At 40.4% G+C, this 21,112-nt stretch overlaps 1 protein-coding gene and 2 long non-coding RNA genes across 17 annotated transcripts in view; 1 reads left to right on the top strand and 2 right to left on the bottom strand.

Annotated features, from left to right (window-relative positions):
• The window catches only part of SNAP25 (synaptosome associated protein 25), an 88,589-nt gene extending 76,611 nt beyond the window's left edge, over positions 1-11,978 (bottom strand). For 10 of the 15 annotated variants that reach the window (NM_001322903.2, XM_017028022.2, NM_001322906.2 and 7 more), the window contains exon 1: positions 11,831-11,978. The gene's annotated coding sequence lies outside the window, so the exon portion shown is untranslated. Of the gene's footprint in view, positions 1-3,369; positions 3,522-4,027; positions 4,131-11,594 lie in introns of all 15 variants that reach the window. The other 5 variants (NM_001322907.2, NM_001322910.2, NM_001322904.2 and 2 more) reach the window with 5 other exon arrangements.
• Positions 11,302-21,112, top strand: part of SNAP25-AS1 (SNAP25 antisense RNA 1) — a 195,695-nt gene continuing 185,884 nt past the window's right edge. The window contains exon 1 of the long non-coding RNA NR_040710.1: positions 11,302-11,571. This is a non-coding gene — a long non-coding RNA (SNAP25 antisense RNA 1). The remainder of the gene's footprint in view (positions 11,572-21,112) is intronic.
• On the bottom strand, positions 15,489-17,328 carry LOC124904959 (uncharacterized). Its single transcript, XR_007067723.1, has 2 exons — positions 16,953-17,328; positions 15,489-15,682 (listed from the first exon to the last, which is right to left on the bottom strand). It is a non-coding gene; the product is annotated as an uncharacterized LOC124904959 (long non-coding RNA).

Here is a 21,112-nt window from a genome sequence, read left to right as displayed (position 1 = left end):
TGGAGATTTCTATCCAATGGTCCAGGACAGCTCTTCTCTTGCTAAGTACCCAGTCACAACTTTTGAAAGGTTGAGAACAGTGAAAACACCTCATCCTCAACAGGCTCAGTTTGAGACAGATGTGAAGGTTTGAAGGAACAACAAAGATCTCTAGGGCAGTGGTTCTCAAACTTGAGCATGCATCAGAATCACCTGGAGATGATTAAAACAGAGGTTACTGGGTCTCGCCCTAGAGTTTCAGATTCAGTAGGTCTGTGTGGGGCCTGGGAATTGCATTTCAAACAAAATCCTGGGTGATGCTGATGCTGCTAAACACCATAGTTTGAGAACAAGTGTCCTAGAGTAATGAATCATTGATTGTAGAAGGTCATTGCACTTGAGATCTTAAATTCAAACTCAAGTTCTCTCTCTTATTAACTGTGTAGAAGAAGGAACCATTTTCCCCCTCTCAAAGACTCATCAATTCCTACTTTGTCCCACAAAATGGGACTCTCCGTTCTTTGGGAAGATGAGTGTTGGGATGATATTCCCTCCACCCCTTCCTTTACTTGTCCCTCCCACCCCCAACTAAAGTATTCTGTGAGATGGGAAATAAGCAGTGAGCAAGTATAACTCAGTTCTCCTCCTTGGCTTTTTCTCTGGGATCTGCCTGCCTATAGCAAGCTTGCATTTTCTGCTCCCCCAGATTGCAAGTTTCTGGAAGCAGGTTCTGTCACTTGGGGGTATGGGTGGGAAAAGGAGAGAAGGGCCTTTGGTTCTCTAGCTATCCTGTCTGACTACACACATTTCTGCAGCCCTTTCTCCTTTGGTAGGTCCCAATGTCTAATCTTGGAGTAGAACTAGAAAGGAGTAAGGAAATCTGATAATCTGACTCTGGTTGCTGGTTGTAATCTTTTCTTTTCTTCTTCTTTTTTCCCCCAAATTCTGCTTAACAAAATGCCTAGTATTTTAATTACTAACCCCTGTTTATGTATGAACTTGTTTGTCGGGGGAAGAGTTGTGATCAGTACCTTAGAATCCATTGCAAGACCTTGATTAAACAGTATTGTCTCTTAGTCAAGTGTGAAGTATAACCTGCCACTCAGAAGGTTGCTGTAGAAAATAAATACAAAACAAGCAACGATAGCCTAACATAATATCTACCACATAGTAGATGCTCAAAAAATAGTGTGACTTTCAAAATCTTTCCCCAGCAAGCTCTCCTGTCTGTAGAGTTTCTCCCCAAAGCAGAATTTGAAGTCATTGCTTTATATAGGGTTGTTTTGGAAGCCTTTTCCAACCTTAAAGAAAAATCATTCTGTGAATGCAGCTTAGGAGCACAGATTCTGCTATTCTTGTAACTTGCTTGTGCAGGTTTTATATTTATTGGTTTATGAATAAAACTAAAGGTTTTGACAATGAGATGATGCATGTAGGAATTTTGTATTCAAGGCTGGCTCCAAGAAAGAGTCTGGGTTTGCATCTCTCTGCTTGTGTATTGTGTGCACATACAAAAACACATGTGCACACACAATATTTAATAAGAAACCTATCCCCGCCCCCAACAAAAATCCTTAACACAAAGCTGAATATAAAATGAAGCCAACAGATGTAGCTTCAGTAATGGTTCACTAAATAGCTTACAGAAAATTTCTTTTTCAAAAGCTAAAGAATAGCAGGACATATTGCATATCATCTCTTTTAACTCCTCAAGCATCTTTAAAATACAAGATGTTAAGGAAGAGGGGACCAGTGTTTAAATAACAACTGGGCCTCTTCAGGTATCTAAACATTACCCTGAGAAACATGAGGTCATTCCCAAAGCAGAGATGCTAATCAAAGGCATTTAAAAATCTTTCCCCAAATAGAAAAATCAAAGGCTGTTGACATATTTCCCCATTTTATTATGCATGCTGATCAAGCTAAAAAATATGTGATACCAAGACTTGTTTTTAAGCAAACACAACAATAAAGAGGAAAAGAAGCATATGGCCTTCATGTAACCTATAATAAAGAACCCTGGAAATCTGGTATGGCAAATAGCAGGTAACTGAACATAACAACAGTCCCTTCCTCTTTCTCAGAGTGGTGGAGGTAACTACTTCACAAGCATTAGCTCCTTTAGGTCTCACGACAACCACTTGACATATATGCATGGCAGCAATTGCTCTCCTTTTACAGATGTAAATAAAAGTGAGGCTCAGTTCAGATTAGGTAAATTGTTCAGGGTTATACAATTGAAGTGGCAGAGCTGGCATGCAGCCAGCTGACTCTCCACCCATTGCTCCATGAACTTGTTTGGACACATAGTTTCTCTGGTCACTTACACCACCATATCTCACCTGGCTATTTAGCTTGGAGGACTCAGCTTTTTAGATTTGGCTGACTCACGTTCTATGTATCAGCAGTGTGCTTTCTGTTAGAGGATCTCAATGTATTTTGTGCAACTCATGGGATAATTTATGGGGTGGTGGGGAAAACCATGGACTTTGCAGTCAGAGACAAGTGTTCCGAACTCTTTTAAGGCTGCCATGGAAAATAAAGGAAACAACATACATCAAGTGCCCAGTGCAGCACACAGTAGACATTTAGGAAGTTAGTTACTTTTTTCCTTGTGGTCATTAAGTGGTAGTATCTTCAGTCTTCTCTGGAGAAAGTTGGATGCAGAGTAACCCGTGTTTTCATGAGAAGGAATGGGGAAAAAAGATATGCAAAATTCAATGCTCAACTGGTGAAGGTTTTTTTCTAAGGACAAATGGGACTTATTTACCAAATCATGCCCAGGCTTATGATTCTCTCCCAGGCAAGAGGACACTGACTATTTGAGAGGAAAAGCCCAGAGACTGGTGTCTCTGAAGGACACTTTTAAGGAAGCGGAATTGACATGAAAAACTTGTGTCCACCATGCCAATTCTAATAGCACAGCAGCAAATATGTGACCCTGAAAACACAAGTTGGCCAAAGCCATAAATCTACCCCACTGGTGAATGTAATATATGTCTCAAATGGATGTATGAAATATCCTTTTCATCCTAGTGAACAGTAAAACATTTAAACTTATAATTCATATATGCTAAACTGCTTGACTTTAAATGCTCTTAGTGAATGGCTTTTAATCTCTGAATATAAACCTGATTTTAGCAATGCCTTTATTGAGAATCCTTTGATCCTTCGTTAGCATTTTAACTCCTGACTCATAAGTGATAAAACAACAGATTAGAATATTATACCATTTGCCATAGTTTGGCAGCTAGTTAGGGTAAACCTAAGTAATTCCTTGGGACATAATTTTATTCCAATATTTAGGATGAATCTATGTGCAAGGGTACACAACAATTCCTGAGTTATTCTGATCATAACATTTGATCAATAAAAAGCAGGATTACTTACAGTGGTAGAATTCTTTTCTCTGCAAAGGGGTAGCTGGTATCCCCATTCGCTCACTTATTTCCTGCATACATGGGTGTGGCAGGCACTGTTATAGGTACTGAAGATTCAAAGAAAGCTAAGATATTACCCTTGCTCTCAAAGACTTCCAAAGTCTATTAAGAAAGAGAAATACATAAGTAGGTAACTACAAAGCAGTGTGATCAATCTTACAAGGGAGATAGGGGCATTGCTCATTGGTAAGAGGTGAATTTCTAGAAGTAGGAGTTTGGGAAATTAAGACATAATTCTACTTGATCCAGAATCACTACATAATTCTACTTGATCCCGAATCACTGAACTTTGTTTAATGACAGGAAGTTTTCAGAGGAGGAAAGTGGATTGGATTGGGAAGTACTCTCATCCAAAGGATCCTTTCTTAGTCAACCTATTCTTGCATTGCTCCATGAGTTTTGGAGTTGGGAATAGGATTTCTGGCCCAGGAGGTACCATGTTTCTTAAAGCTTGACCCCTTCCTCCCATGAGCGGCAGAAAGTGGTCTCTACAGGGAGAGATCCCAACAGATTGGGATACTGGAATATAGTCATGTATTTAAGGGACATTTTAGTGACATCCTAGTTGATTGCCATGTAAATAGAGACAAGTTCACACAAAGACATACCTTAGATATTTACTGAGTTCGGTGATGGCTGAGGCTGGTTCTTAATATGTATTTGTTTATGATATAGCAATCTCTCTGTAGATACTGACAGCTCAGTAGAAACCTTCAATAGATTGTATATTTTGATTAGAGAGCCATAGCTCTTTTCTACATTGAATTAATGTCTTAGATTCTAAAAGGCATCCCATTGAAACATGCCTTTTAAAATAATGACACCTCAAGAGGGGACACCTAGCATAACACATGGAGGGCAGAAACATGATGATTTTATTTACAGCTCTGACTTTAGGAACCAGTGTATGTTTTCCTGGTACATGGCAGGTGTTCAATAAATATTTGTTCAATGGATTAATTAATGAAGAATGCCATAATAGCAGCTGATTTATGATGAAGCAATACATGGGCAGTGATCATGGAATTGGAAAAAGTAGATACATTCAGCAATTTCTCTGGCATAAATTAGGAATGGACTTTCCCATTAAAATAAAAAATTCACTCAACAAGGCTAATGCGTATTGAAATAGTTTGCCAGTGTTCTTCCTAGCAGTCTTTCTGGCATTTATTTCTGTGCATTTTCTGTTTATTGATAGAGAAGTCACAGTGTGATTTACCTATACCTAGCTGCCAGACCAACTTCGGAATAACTGCAGGGAAATTTAAGAAATTCACTGTTTTGGAATTTGCCAGTTATTATTCTTTGAAACTGTACCAAAGATGAACATAAATAAAGGAGATTAACAACTTGGTCTGAGACTCTTCATGGAAAGGGAACTCTGTCCAACTTGCAGGATTTTCAGAGCTCAACTGAGAAAATTCTCTGAAAAAGGAATGAGGCAGGAGTGTAGGGCTGAACTCTGGCCTCAGGGGGGCACCTAAGAGACTTTCATTTTTTTACTTGCTGTTATCAGTAAAGGACAGAAACCACTGATTCAAGGTTACAGGCATGGAAAGTCATCTCTCAAGTTCAAGATCTGTGACTAGTGTCATTTGAATAAAGGAAGTGATGGGGAAGCTGGGACCAGATGGTCATTTTGTAGAACCTGCCACTTTGGAGGAAAATAACCTTTTTCTTTAAGTAAAAATGGACCACCTTGGAAGATTAAGACACAATGAGTCAGCAGAAAGTGCCAACAGTCTCAATTTAAGACATGAGAATTAGACATCTTTGAGTAATATGAACCATATCAACAACAGCAAAGAAGAGGATGAAATATATTTTTCCACAACCAAAGAAAGCAAGCCATAAGCCCAGTACAGCTGTTATTCAGCATCATTCGGGAGCAGGCATCATTTGACTGAATTTCTCTGGAATCATTGTTAAGCATTTAGAAGGAAATGCTAATCCTTAAATAGGATTTCCCCCCATCTCTTTTTAGGGATACAGATTTGTTCTTACCAGTAAGTCAGTCACTGCTGAGGTTGACCTCTGTAGTCAACAATAAGAAAATCAGTTAGGATTTCCTCTTGTGATACCATGTTTTACCTTGGTGGAAAGACATTGAAATCTGCAGTAGGTTGTGACAAGGCGAATGTGTTTTTTTTTTTTCCCCTCCGGGACATGTGAATTTATTTGATGTGTGACTATGAATTTAATTAATCAACATTGTACCACCAACTGCTGACCTCTGACCTCATAGGCTTTAAAGCTTCCTTCTCTCCTTGTCCTATGTTTTTAAAGCTTTCCTGTGATGTCATTTTACCCCACATCCTCCCAATGTGATTAGTTTTTGAGCTGGCTATCAGTATCATGAGATTCAGGTCACACAGGAATGTTACTTTTAAAGTACTTTACAGCTCACAGATTCTATAAAAGCTTCTGTTTCCTCTTTGCTAAGCGGCAGAAGAAGTAAGAGGATGAGTGAGGGAACTGCAGCTAATACATTGCTAAGTCAGACACACGAGATGATCAAGAAGAGGTCTAGAAAGAAATTTATACAAAGTTTAGGCAGGTTGTAGGAGACAGTATGTGCTAGATAGCTACAAATCTGATTGAGAAGGACAGGAGATACCCAAAGCAGTGATGACTCAGAATAGGGCTTTGAGGAAGAAGACAGGATTTCTTAACTCTGAGAAGGCTTCAGAAAGATGAAGGCAAGCAATTCTGAGGGGGGAAAAAATAAGGATTGGGATGAGGGAGGCGATGAATGTAATTAATCTTCCAATTGGGTCCAGATCAGTTACTGAAGCATTATTAAGATGATGCCAGCTGAGGCCATCGGTCACTAGGCCAGGACCCATTGCCTGGGGTTTTCAGCACTGATTTCATTGATTTTTGAATGGTAGGGATATTGGACATCATTAGTCCACTTCTATCATTCTGCCAGTAAAGAAACCAAGTTCAACAGTGGTGCACTGACTAATTTAAAGACTGTGTAATTCCAAACAGGAAATTACAAGCAGTTGTTTCAGGGCTAGAGCTGGGTCTCCTGGCTCTGACCAGCATCCTTACCTTCAGGCCTTGCTACCCAAGTGAGGAGGAAAAGACTGCAAAAAAAAAAAAAAAAAAAAAAAAAAAAAAAAAAAGACATGTACATTCTCTATGCCTTATTTGGCCAATATGAAAAATATGGATGATGCAAGAGGTAGCATAAAATACACTTCATAGCTTAATCTCTGGAGTCAGACTGATTACATTTAAGTCTTGGCTCTGCTCTGCGACAAGTTACTTACCCTTGCTGTGCATCAGTTATTTCATCTGCGAAATGGAAATAATAATAGTAATCTGACCACAAGGTTGTTAGGAGGATACAGTGAGCCAGTATAGGTAAACACTTTTAGAATGAGTGTCACATTCTTCCCCATAAGCCCATTCTGATTAATCACTGATTTGGGTATCTCTGTCATTCTAAATCAATTTATGTCTTACTAAATGTGATCTAATACTATATCTGAACATATGTGTCTGTGGGTTGCACTATTTATTTAGAAATCAGAAATTCCTTGGACTTTCATATTGGGTGAAGTGCTTGAGAGTCTTGTGAAGAAAATTATGTAGAAAGAGTAGGTATTATTGTTAAGGCAATAATAGCAATTCTGAGGAGTTCACAGTGTAGCTGGGGTTCTCTAGAAATTTCTATGAAGTCTTTTTCCTCTTGTAAGACTTTTTTTTTTAACTTTTTGTCCCCTCATCATGTCCTACTTCCTCAGTGCTATGTCATATCTCCTTCCTTCACCTTACTTGATGCTTGTGTAGCCCCTGGACTCAGTTTAATAACCACCAACCTGACCTCCTAAAGCATCAAATGTCACTACCTCTAAGTTTCCCCTAGGTAGTCAGCTTGGATATAAAAATGTTATCCTGTGGTGTCTCTACTGCCAGTGTTTTAGTGAAGAATAGATGAGGATAGTCTCTTGATACCTTATAGCCAGAAATGAAATGGCAGTAAAATCTGTATCTACCGTTGCCATTTCTTCCTCTACATGAACCCACTGACTATTTTGGCTTAGCAATTCTGTCAGCATTTGGATTTTTGAAGCTCTTCTGTGAGAGTAGTAACCACAAGGTTAGAAAGGAAATGGGTGTAATCCAGACCTCGAGGTAGCCCTGAAGTGAGGGTAACTAGCAAGAGTCAGCAAAATAGGCAGGGAAAGAAATCTGATATACTACCCATTCCAGTTTTTCAAAATTCTACCATTCCATCTTTTTCCTCCCATTTTTAGCCACTTGGGGCTGGTCCTATATGTCATGCTGCTCAAAACATGCTCAGAAGAAATGACAACTTTTTTCATTCCTCCCGTCAGTGCACTTGACAATGCTGAATATTCACAGAGGGCAAGAGAGTGTTCAGCACCATGTTTATTATTCAAGTGCACCTTCTGGGACCTTCTGGGGTGTCTCATCACCAGATTCTTGACTTTCTTTTCAGTCTGCCTGGCAAGTGCTCAACTTGCATAATTTCATTTAGTCAATAATGGAAAATGGAAACTTGCAATTAACTTCCAAGCAGGAATTATATGTCTATGTAGGTATATGTATCCTGAAAAGTAGTCTTAAAAGATGCTTCAGTAAGGACTGATTTTTTTTCATTAACCATCTCTTATGATACCAATTTGCTCCCCTCTACTTCTGGAAGAATGCAAATTAAATCCACTCTGTCAATAGTAATTTCTGGATATTAAAAAGACCTGGTTACTTTGTTATATCAGCTTCTGCTCAGAAATCAACTTTAGAGGATAAAGTACCAAATTCTCAGCTTGACATTCAAAGCCTTCCACAGAAGGCTCCAACTCTGCATCCCAGCCTATTCCCTCCAAGCTTCCCACTCCACCCAAATCAATGGGCATTTTCAGGGTTTGCCAACTGTAGAGTGGGCTTGCCTAACTTGATATTCTGCATATGTTGTGACTTCAGCTTAACAGAACTCTCCCACCTCTCTGCAACCTCCAAAAGCCATCTCAAGGCCTGCCTCTTCTCTCAGATTGTTCCAGTCCACTGCGATATCGCCCTCCTGATTTTATGTTACTTATTGTTGGTTACATTCACTTGGAAATTAATCACATATGTCCTCAAAATTTGTCTTCTAATGTTTTATTGCATTTAATTCTGGTTTTATTTATTAACTTATTGTTTATTGCTTTTATTAAGATTGCTAGATGCTAAACTTATTGAGGTCAAGACAAAACCATGAAATTTTATAACTCCCATGGGATTCATTTCTGTATCCGGTGAATACCGATTGATCAGTATCTTCCTATCAGGTTGGTACTTGCTGACAAGGGATGACATTGCAGAAAGTATCCAGCGCTGAGGCTTAAAACACAGATTTTTCCTTCTTTTATAGAATTGTAAAGCAGTCCCATAATGTGAGAAACATTGTTTATTCATAGTGAATTATCTAAAAAGCATATTTTCTATTTTTCTCCTTCATGTCTCCTCTCTCAACCTCTTTCTCAGATTATTTTTCTCGTTTCTACTAATCGTCAAAACCTACGTGTTATGCTGAAGGCTGACTGCTTACGCAGCTTCTAGGTGTCACTGGCAGAAACATGTCTTTCAGCTGATAACCCTCACTCAAGGGTTAACATTTAGAGCTTGGGAATATCTTTAGACAAGCTAATTAACGGGTAGTTTGCATTGTGTTTGTGCATGTGTGGTTGTGCGTGTTTAACAAAGTAAAAATAAAATTGTGAATTCTTGGGAGATTTTGCCATGAAGAGGTTAAGAGGATTGTAAATTGTTCTGTAATTTGAACACTGAGGTGGTAATGCAGTAAATGCCGATGAACAAACAGGCATCAGAGGGTCTGTGTGAATGACTCCTGGCTCATCCTATGTCCATCTGCTCCTGCCTCTTCTCACCGCATTGCCCTGGATTTTAAAAATTCTAACTTAAAATGGGAAATTTCTCGATTTTTTTTCCCTGGAAGCTTGTCAATGATATAAATGTTAAATTCATGGTTCAATGATATATTTTTTAAATTTCTCAGTAAGCTATTCTAAAATTAGCTTTCTAATTGTGCACATTGCTTCTTCCTCTCAGCTCTGTGCCCTTTGCCATCTTCACTGCGGTCCTCTACTTCCCCCGCTCCTCCCCAGTCTTCCACTAGCAAACAAACCCAGCAGTAATTACTAATGTCCAAGCACGTAATTCCGGCAGCATTAGGCTTTTCATTTGACGCAACTACGCAGACAGCTGTCTGGACATGCAGCATGAAGTTAAAGCATTTTTAAAGATTCCTGCCCATATTTTCTCTCCTCCACTACTAAAACACAGTTGTTTATTTTTGTCTGCAGATTGCAAAGTTATAAACTTCTTTTATACGTTTACATACTCATATATAAATGTCCACCCAAATAATTTTACATCCATGCAAAATAACAGATCAACATATACATACATGGAAACACATGGTCATCTATAAAAAGAAAAAACACTAGGAAATAATTAAATAGCAGCGAATGAAATTACCTTCTGTATATGGACAGGGAATTTTAGTGTCTGTAGCATACAGATGATAGGAGGTATGACTATCTAAACACAATCCAAGTTCTCATTTGGGGTCTTTTAAGGGGATCATGATAGCGTTTCTTTAATGCATTGTATAGATTATTACATATGACGCTGTTACTCTTTTTTGCTAATGACTCAAATGGCATAATTTTGACTCTGGTCATTTTTATGCCAGTTTTATCTACATCAAACAGAGAGAAATACCCCTGATGACTTTTGCTCTCTCAGATGCTCCAAGCCTCAGAGTAGAAAATGGTTAAAGTAGTTATTACCACCTCAGCAAAATCCCGCAGTGCCATAAGAGAAATTGCAGTAGACCTTTAGGTCAGAGTTAAGTTCTAGTTTAACACCATGGTTCTTTACCTGCATTACCCTGAAGGACACACTTGGATTCTCCTGAGGAAGGCCAGTCTTAATATTGTCAAAATCTAAAGCTATCAGCCTGCGATAACCAGTGCTGATAGCAAATACTTCCAGTAACTCTGAAACCGTGGCCAAAGAGGTTAAATCTATTCAGTACAGGACCAGTAAAATTTCTCAGATATGTGTTTTTGTGGATGAATGCTTGTATTCATGCCTGATTGCAAGGATGGGGGAAGAAGGAAAAGGAAGAGTGATTCATTCTTAAAGTTGATTCTGCTTAGTTCAGCTAATCTCACATTTTTATCAAATGGAAACATAGAGAGAGATGTATCATCCCTATAAACAGATAGCATTGGCTTCTTCATATATACAGTACTTATGCTCACCCAAGATCTGTAGACAGATCTACTCTGTGTTAAAAAACAAAACCAAACAAAAACCTTGATACCCTGCTGGAGGATAAATCCATATTTTTTAAAAAATGTATTTATTTTCTACGTAAAATAAGGGTCAGAGGGCAACACAGAAGATTTCCACAAGTAGACTATTTTGTTGAAGCTATGCAGGAGGTGAGGAGGGGAACAGGAAATTGTCTGCAAAGGAGTCTCTGTGAGGAAGATTTATTTCTTTCTTGTTTTCTTTTAAGCTACTATGACTCCTCTATTAAGGGTCTCCGTAAGACCGGGGTCTCAGGGAGACAATTTGGTCTCCAGCCCTGGCACATCCAGCCCCGGCCAGGCATTTCTGCCGCAGGCAGATGAGGCGCTGCGGCCGGACCGCTGTCCCCGGTGCTGAAAGGTCGAGGGCGCCCGCGCGAGCCCTCGGTGTTGCTATCCAGGGTGCTGAGCGCGGGCCGCCGCAGTCCCCGAAGCCAGCCCACCCGCGCCAGCCCTCCGCAGAGCCCTCCCACCCGGCACGACCCGCCCGCCTCCCGCCAGCCTGCAGTTGACGTGGAGCAGGCGGCATAAATCAAGTCCGCGGGGCATGGAGGCTGCTGTCGCTGCAGCAGCTCAGCTTGCCCGGGGCGGGAACTCCCCCTTTCTCCTTTCGCCTCCCCAGCACCCACACCCTGTCTCCCCCTTAATTCTTCCCTGGATAATAGCACCCTAACGACAACAGTCATAATAATAGGGTTAGAACGACAGGGGAGGAAAACTCAACAGCCTAAATATCTCTGAAAACTGCATCGCAAAATGGAAGAAAGAGGGGGTCCCACTACTGTTTCAAAAGAGTAAGTTATTATTCGGTACGTACCCTCGCTCTTCCTCCCCGTCGCTCCATTTGCAGGGCTCCCGTTTCCCTTTTCCCCAGCAGCTCACCTCGAAAACACTTTATAAAGCCCCCACCAGACGTGCACACACGGAATACCGCACCCTAAGTGCACCAATACTTGTATTTACCCAAGCCCACTCGGACTGCCCAGCTGCTGTCCCTTCTGGGTATGCAGCCATCCCGAGCCAGAGCCACGACCTGGGGAGGGGGGTTCTTACCTGGGCTTCTCGGGAGGGTTGTGTTCTCCGGGCCTCTGCAGGTTGCAACTGTGGTGGAGCCGCCGAGCAGGGAGGGAAGGAAAGACAGCGCCTGACCTCCCCGAGGTTTCGTCTTCAATGCAACGTGAGCTCTGCCCTCATCAAAGATGGCCGTCCGTTTTGACGTCAGCAGCTTTTAATAGCCGCCCAGCGAGGGGCGGGAGGAAGTGGGGGCGGGGCACGGCGGGGGCGGGGGCGGGGCCCGGGCTGCGGCGCGCTTGACTCGGTTCCCAGTGCGCTGGCCTGCAAACCTGCGTGTTTTCACCTTCTATAAACACCCGCACGGGGCGACTCTTATGACTCCATTTTAACACTCGGTCTTGGGCAAACGCGTTCATCCCGCAACTGCATTCCTGATGTTCTTTGGTGTGTGTGCGTGTGTGTGTACATATGTGTATATGTGTGTGTATGTATATATGTATGTGTGTGTATATTTTATAATACATGTATAATATATGTATAATTTGTGTGTATGTGTATATATTCCCCCCCACCCCCACCCCCACCCCCTTTCAGTGGAATCTGTGGTTGAGTCATCTAAGGAGAGGGGAAGGCAGAGGAGGGGTAAAAGGTAGTGATGGGAGGGGTGGGGGAAATTTCAGCGGCGATTTGTTTTCTCCGAAGAGGGTCCGTAGGGGCATCCCCGTCCACCCTCGCCAGCTCCATATATGGCCAGGCTACGTGGGTTGCTATTTTTATGAGTGATTGCTTCATGTTATCGAAGCAGCGTCGAGGGCTTGTGGCTCTCGTTGCTGTGGTCAGCCGGGCAGCGAGGCTGGCGCACGTTATTTTGAACTACGTCAGAGCCAGGCTCTCTGAGCTGTTGCAGGAGTCGGGGGAAGGAGAAGGGAAGCGGAGTTAGCCCAGCCAGCGTGGGTTTGCAAGGACTCGAGGCTTGAAGTTGAGTTGTTTGCCGAGGGCAAAAACGGATGACTCTGCTTTCGGTGGAATTTGCAGTCGGTGCTGGGGTTTCATGCTGGGTGTCTTAGGGGTACCCCACGGAGGCACAGACGCCCCGAGGGAACCGTCCAAACGGCCGGGAGGAGGTGGGGGATTCAGAGCAAGGACGGCTGGGACACGGCCGAATCTGGGGGTTCACTCAGTGCGCAAACCCCGGGGTACCCGTGCAGGCTGCCTCGGGGGGCCCTCGGATGCTCAAATCAGGGCGGGGAGACAAAGGCTACTTGTGCTGGTCGTATTAGAGATTAAAAGTGATAATTATAAAGCAACAACCCTAACTGTCCTCCCTGGCCGTGCCCGGGCCCGGGAAGGGGGTGGTGCGCGGATCGCTCGGCGGTGGCAGCCTCCCGGATGATTCACAGGTGTTGGGGAGGCTGTCGCGGGGCTCTCCGCAGGGAGGGAGGGCTGGGGAGCGCGTGGGAGGTGGGGGACCTCGTCTGAGGAACTGTTTGTACTTTTCCGGGAAGGATGCGATTAGAAGTCGTGCCTCGCAATGTTAAAACTTGATGGCCTCTTTTAGGCTATGGAAAATCCTTGTCTCGCTTAGGAGAAACCATTTAGAGCTGGGTTCGGAAAAGCGGCGTACAACCTCTCCCCTTGCACCCTCGCCCCCCACCCCCGCCCCACCACACACACACACACACACACACACACACACACACACACATCCCTAGCTGGCCTGAGAGCCAAGCTTAGGCAATAATACGGCCTTTGATTGCGCTCCATTGCGGAGGGAGGGAAGCGGGGTAGGGGGAAGGGAAGAAGAGTTGTGAAGGCGCTGCGTTTAGAAAGAGACGGGTTGTTAAGAATTTAATAAAGGATACCTTTAATCGAAATTAGTAGACATAATTGTTTCTTAAAGATTCCCTGGCCTGAAGGCTTTTTTTTGACGTATTGATGTTTTTGCCATAATAATTAACAGTGTTTGGATGTTAATTAAAGCCAAATTCCTAAAAAAGGCATGTTGCTGAAATTTGTTTACTTAAATATTCATTAAACATTTAAGATTGCCATACAATAAAGAAGAAAATCTGCAAAGTCCTTAGATACTTAATTGCCAATAAAAGTCTCTTGAGTATGGCTCTTACTTTCATTATAAAGCAAGTTGGAATAGGGGGAAAGGGGTTTGAATGCAATGTACTGCAAAATCCTTTGTAGTCAGAATTTTTTCCAAAGTGTGACACTTTAAAAAAAGGCAGCATGCGGAAGTTTGAAGAGAAAAAAAAACCTGCAGAGGGAGAAAAAAAAATGTGTGTATGGCCCTCAGACTAGAAATCATTCAGGCAGAAAGTTTTGTGAAGGAATGGAGGAGGTGGGGGATTTTCCAAGTTAAAAAAAAAAAAGAAGTTAAAAAGCAACTACGTCAGTGATGGAGGCTTATCCTGCAGGCAAAAGCTATGTAGCAGTCACAGGGAAGGACTGGCTTGGTATTCTGAGTTTTCAACTGCTGATGCCCCACACTGACATCTATAAAAATGACAGACAAGAAGAGAGAGGCAGACTGTTTCAAGGCATTACAGAAAATACCATGGACCCTACAAGATTAGCTGGTGGTGGTGACAATGTTTTCCATTGCTAGTGCTTGTTGTGAAAATGATGCTGTTTGAGAGGTTCTTAGAGGTTCTTCATCTTGCTCTGGGAAAGGTAACAGAGTGTAATTTGAGATACATAAACATTGGGTACATAAAAATCTGCTAGGGATGACCAGATAACCCTAAATGTATTTTGAATAGGATAATGAGATTTTTTTCCCTTAGGATTTTCTCACGGCATGATTAAAGCAAAACAAAAACAAACAAGAAAACGTCATCATCTTTGCCAGTAGAGAACCAGCAGATTCATGATACTCAGGGTTTGCAAAGGCCTGAACCACACAGGGAAGGAAGGTGATGGAAAATTTGTTCCAAAATGGTTCAGCTGCTATGGGTTATTTCTGCAAAGAACTAACACACAGAGTATCTAATGCTTAGGATGAGTAACGAGAAAATTACCTGCTCTGCTAGATGGATATTTACACTGTGATAATTCAAGCCTCTGAAAGCTTTTTTGGTACATTATGCCCCAAAGTATTCTGGTTTGCAGTAGCTCTAGGTCCAAGGTATTTAGCTTGTATCTCCAAGGTAAGGTGCAAGATTCATAGTTGACTCAATAACTACAATTTTATAAGTCATAATAATAATAACTTTTCTAAAATCCCATGTGATCTTTCCAAAGTCAACTTGGAAGCAGTTTAGAGATAGCCCAGCTCAGAAGCCCTCTCTCCAGGGTCCTCCTTTGGGACATGCCTGGCACCCTATGACAATGTTTCAAAACACTGTGAGGGCAAAGAATATTCAGTTCTGCGCAAGAATATTCAGTTTGATAGAGCAACTGTTTTGATTCCTTGGTTTGCTTTCCAAGTGGTTTGCTTGCCACTTTCTCTTCATATATTCTTCTAGCCCTTAATCCAGCCCCCCACCCCATTTATATATAGTGAAGTAGCGGTACCTTAAAATGCCTCGAGTAGTTTAACTCTAGGTTTAAACTATCCAGGCTGTTCTTGTTCCCTGAAGCCTCTAAGGTAGATATAGATCTTGTGAAAGGTAAAAAGAGAACCAGGAATATTAGTTGCTGTTTCTGGTTTGCCAGGTTAAGAAAAAATAGGACTGTACACTCAGAATATTAAATAACACTTTATTCTTTATTACAGACAGTATGGTGAGAAGGAAGAAGGGGAGTGTCCAGCAGCCACAGGCTGGATGTTTCCACACTTTTGTTCCTTGATGCACCAAAATTACAGACTTTCTTTTACAATGCATCCTAGGACCCTTCCCAATGCTGAGACACGCCTGTGGTCCAGTAGGGAGGAAGAACCTGTGACAATTAGGAACAGAGAGGCAGAGAAAATGGTAGTCCAAATTAGTACACTTCAAAAAGGCTATTTGTTAGGGATCACAGTATTCCTTGAGTAAATCTTTTAGGAATCATATTAGTTCTGTAACCTCTTTGTATCTCAATTATCTCATAGGTAAAATGGAGACAATAATTATAGCAAATACACAAGGAAATTATGAAGCACTGAGTGTCATGTCTAGCACTATGAAGTATTGGCTAAATAAAATCTATCATTTTGATGAGACTTTAACTTTATTTCTCTAAGAAATGACATGTAGCTTGGCTTTAATATGGAGGATTGCCATTTTTTTCATTAGCTATTAATTAGATATGTATCAATCATACTGGGCCTTGTTTTTTTCATCTATATGAACTTATTCATTTACTCAATATCGAACACCTGCCATATGCTTAGCACTGGGGTCTAGGAAAAATTGAGTAGAGAGTTGAGGGTTAGAGCGGTTAAATAACCAGGCCAAGGACACAGCTAAGAAATGGGATAGCTGGGGTTTGAACCCCAGGGCCCAAGCTCATAATCACTATGTTTTAGTACAGCCTCCTCCAGCTCCATCAGACTCCTTTCTGCCCTCTGCAGCTACCTTCTCTGCCTCAACACACTGTGGCTTGCATATGCCTTTTCTCATTAGCAACTTCAGGGTTTCGTTTGCTAGAGGGATGAGTATGAATTACTGGTTTGGTTGGCTGAATCACAAGGTTTCGCTGTGGCGAATTTCAAGAAAGAAGTCTAGGCTGTTAACCTGAGGTGAACAGAAACAACATATTCAAAGGAAGAGAGTTCAAATTACAATCAAGGAGGGAATTCAGAGATCAATATCCAATAAACAGCTTAAATAAGAATCAGGGCAGAAAATGCTCTCAAAATATACCTAAGCAAGTCAGCCAGAGGTCAGAACAGAATGGCAATGTGGATCAGTGGTTTTGAGGCAGATGATATGAGGTCTTCAACACGAATTGATTCCAAGGGTGAAGAACTCTGAGGGTGAGGATGGGGTTAAGCTGGGTTGAAATGAATGACTCAGGATATACCTGGGAATGGGGCAAGAATATCTCGTGCGATTTTATTGATACTAGCGGAGAAGGGCATCACACTTCTGCCAGCTCACAGGCACCAGCCTAGGCAAGGCACATTCTAAGACATCAGCAGATTGCATCAATAATCTCTTGGTCATGGTCCAAAGGACTTTTCATCTTTATTGACTTCTGGGTTCACCTGACGGCATGTACTTACCCCTTCCCTTTCTTAAAGCTTTCATTATCAGGTGCCTTCACCTCTGTTTCTCCCTTTTTTGTTGGCTCCTCATTTTCCATAGCAGATGGGTTGAAGCAGCAAAATTGTTGTGCCCAGCAGGTTAAGCTGGACATTTCCTTGAGTCCTGCACAAGCCCCCCTGGGAGCTCCATATGTCCATAGAACCTGTCCTGACTCTCCACCCTGAAAGCTTCTGTGCTCTAAGCCAAAGAGAAAAAAATTAAATAGCTCTCTTTTATATAGCTCTGTGCTAAAGAAATACGAAAGTTGCAAAGAACTGTCACACACATGATCTCATTTTATTCTTGCAACAACTCTCTGAGGTATGTATAATAGTAATTATTATTTTAATTCCCAATTAATACATGATTATCTTATACCATGCAGCCAGTTGGTAATGGAGTTAGAATAGGTACTGAAAACTTCCTACTCTAAATTCTACATCAGAAAATGCAGAATTCTGATTGGTCTTTCAGCCTTCTCTACTGACCATGGTACCTCAAGAGACTCAGTGTTCTATATCTTCCTTCATATGTTGTCTTCAAAAAATCTGATTTCATACCCTTGAGTTTAACCATCTTTTTATATATTTGACTTTTAATTTCCTATTGCCAGTCTCACTCACTCTTGTGAGCTTCAAAGTCATATTCCTAGCTTCTTAATGAACACTCTTATCTGGCTGAATCAAAGGCACCTCAAACTGAACATATATATGCATAAGTTGGTTCCATACTCTGCAAGAATCTACTTCGCCTCTTACATTCTTAATTAACATTTTCTCATGATGTCCCATCTTCCAAACTAGTATACTCACAAGCATCTTATTTTCACTCTCCTTTGCTGGCTTTGCTTTCATTTTCTCAACTCCGAGCGTTCAAGACTTGGAACTTCTCTCCTCTCTACATAATCATTCCCTGGTAAGTGTATCCATTTCCAAGGCCTTGGGTAGTGTCTATGTGTTGATGCTTTTATGTTACATATTCAGCCCTAATTTTGCTCCTGGACTGCATCATGTATGCACAAGTTTCTACTCAATATCTGTACTTAAGCATAAGGCAAATATGGACATCTAACTTAGCATATCCAAAGCAGATTTCAGATTTTTTAACTTCAAGAGGCTCCCTTCATCTTAGTTCTCCATATTAGCGAACGGCATTGACATTCCTAGTCCCTGAGGATGAAAATCTTATATTATTTCAAGGATATTTTTTATATTCACACATAATAAATAACACTTGTTGCTCTATTGTCAAAATACTTTTCAAATCCAACTACTCCTCAGCACCTCCGCGGATACCACCTTAGTTTAAGTCGCCATCATTTCTCTCTTGGGATATTACAGTAGCCTCTTAATTTGTCTTCTAGCACCTGTATCTCCTCTACATAGCTGCTGCAGTGATACTTTTAAAAGACAAATCTGATCATATTTCCTTTCTCTAAAACTTTCAATGTCACCCATCACACTTAGAAGTTCTTCCTTTACTCTACAAGATCATGCTCCTGGCCACCTTTCCGAACTCATTTCCCAGCACCTCTCCATTCCAATCACGTTGGCCTTCTTGCTGTCCGTTGAACAACCAAGCACACTCCTATCTCAAGACCTTTGCACTAGTTAGTGTTTCTACCTGAAATAGCCTCCCCCAGATCGTCTCATGTCTCATCTCCTCAAATGCCACATTTACAAAGGAGCCTTCTCTGACAATCTAAACTCGCTAAAGTTGCTAACCTCTATTTTTTAAAATTATTTTACCCTGCACTATTTTTCTTCATAGCACTTTTCTCCTGTTGACATTATATATGTGTTTATAGCTACATCTATATTATATTTCCCAGAGGCAATGGTTTTCAATGGCATTTGCATTTGCTTTGGTTAATTTCTTTTTTGTTTCCAAATAATATGCAGACATTGCTAATTCTTGATTTATAAAATAGACATCAGTTGACTTCCTAATAATGAGGCTCTCTTACATCACCCTTGTTTCTTCTCCCCATCCTGTCAATAACACAACTGTGTGTTAAATAGTCACTCTGCCATGAATATATCTAGGTAAATATTGTTCACTGTAAGTAGTACCACATAATGAGTATGCTTCTTTTTTTTTGCATATTTTCCCACTTTCCCTAAAGAAGCTCTTACAAGCTTCATAGAGAAGAAAGAGGTGGTCGCCTACAAAGGAGGAAGAATTACAGCAAAATTGGACTTCTCAAAACAAATTCAGGTGGTAGGAGTCAATGGAACAGGTCTTCAAATACAGCAAGAAAAATAAATCTCCATCTATAAGTCTATATTAAGCCAGAATATTAATAAAGAGCGAAGGGCAAAATGAAAACATTTCTAGATGTGATGTGGACAGACTCAGGACAATTACCTCCCATGAACATTTTTTGCAAATAAAAATATTTTCTAAGGATTTTACCTTAACAATACAACTCACAAAGGAATCTATGCAAAGGAGGAAGACCAGGAACTTAGGAAATATTAGAACTAAGGTAGCATTTTTTTCCTAGGACCAAAGCTAGGAAACAGATACGGTAATAAATCAGAGTAAAATTAGTTTGACAAATAGTATAGTTTAAAAGCTAATTATAGTATTAACCAGACAATGGCATAAATATCTCCTATCAGTAATAACAAGAAAATGCCCCTATAATGACAGGAAAAACAAAAGCTATATCATATATTTTTGGTTCAAATCTGAAGTCAATTATACGACACAATTTTGAGCATTTTTTGATGGCGTTTAAGGAAATATTTTTTATTTGTCCTTTATCTTCAATTTTTTTTTCTTTTTTGGTGTGAAAATTTAGTGCCACAGAGACATTTTTTCTTTAAAGTTTTACCACCCTACCTGGTTCTGCAATAAATACTATCTATATAATCATAAGCTGTAAATGCTCTTTTTTGATCTTTGAAGTTTAAATTAAACTGTAGACCAAGAATAAATGACTTAATATTTACCAAACAGAATCTGAATATTATGGGACCTAACATATAGAAGTAGTGAGAGAGCTGTCAGATGTGGGAAGTAAAGGAGAGGGCTTAGGAGGGGCAATGTAAAGAGACTTTATAATGCAGACACCGCAATTTACTCATTTTATATGGTAAAGGATTAAAATAATCAGTATAAAGTTCATAAAAGGAAAAATAAAGTTTACTGATGGTATAATCATATATAAAGTTATATGTATTATTTTAAAGTTAGCCAACAGAAACCCAAAAAGTAATAGAAGTACCAAAGTTCAGTGGTTGTAATAAGGGAGACAGAGCCAACAAGATAACGTTCTCAGTTTTTTCATAAAGGATGTTTATATATTATTTAAAATTGGTAAATCAAGAAATAAAAAGATATTATTTAAAATTAAGGTTGGAAACACCAAAGATAACTTGAAGAGGAAGTATTTAAAGATGGTTACTTTTGGGAAGGATAATGAGTAAGATGCAAAAAGATTTTATTTTATTTAAACAATCTTCATTATTGTTTTCCTGTGAATGTGTTACTCTTCTTTAAAAGAATGGCAGTAACAAAATTATTTCAAAAAGCTTTTATGCAAGCTCTCCTGGTTTGGGTGGGCTGCAAAATTCTGTCTTCAATGTCCTCTCCTATAATGCTTTGGAAACTCCATAACCTTTCTTATTCAGTATAACAAAACGGTATTGATTTTTAAAGTGGAGAAAAGAAAGATTCCTTGAAATGTATTTTTAACCCCTGTGTTTTTCTAGGCAATGTTAAGGAAAGATACTGAGATTAAAATGGAAATATGAGACATGAGAGCTGACATCTGGTCAGGAGGTCTGTTGGAGCCAACATTTTAATAATAAAATTATGATTATGAAAGAGCCACTTTGGGGATGGTTGAATAAGGACCTCTGAAAATCTATTCCTTCATAAAAGCAACAAGAACACTAGCAAAAATTGTTAAAATAATTTTTTTGTTTAGAAATCTGGAAATTAACCAAAGGCTTGCAACAATCTGAGGAGCATTTATTCAAGAAAAATGTCTACATTTTGGGTAAGAACAAGAAACTTTGTGGCATTTAACTTGCCCTATTGCCATTCCCCTTTCTGCAGCTTTATAGCAACCTTGAAAACCAGGGACCTACATGCCATTTGGAGGGTAACAGAATTGATTTGGAGCTCC

This window comes from Homo sapiens, chromosome 20 (genome assembly GCF_000001405.40).
Source record: "Homo sapiens chromosome 20, GRCh38.p14 Primary Assembly".
Classification (NCBI taxonomy): Eukaryota; Metazoa; Chordata; class Mammalia; order Primates; family Hominidae; genus Homo; species Homo sapiens.
Note: the sequence above shows the minus strand (reverse complement) of the source record. Positions and strands in the feature narration are given on the sequence as shown.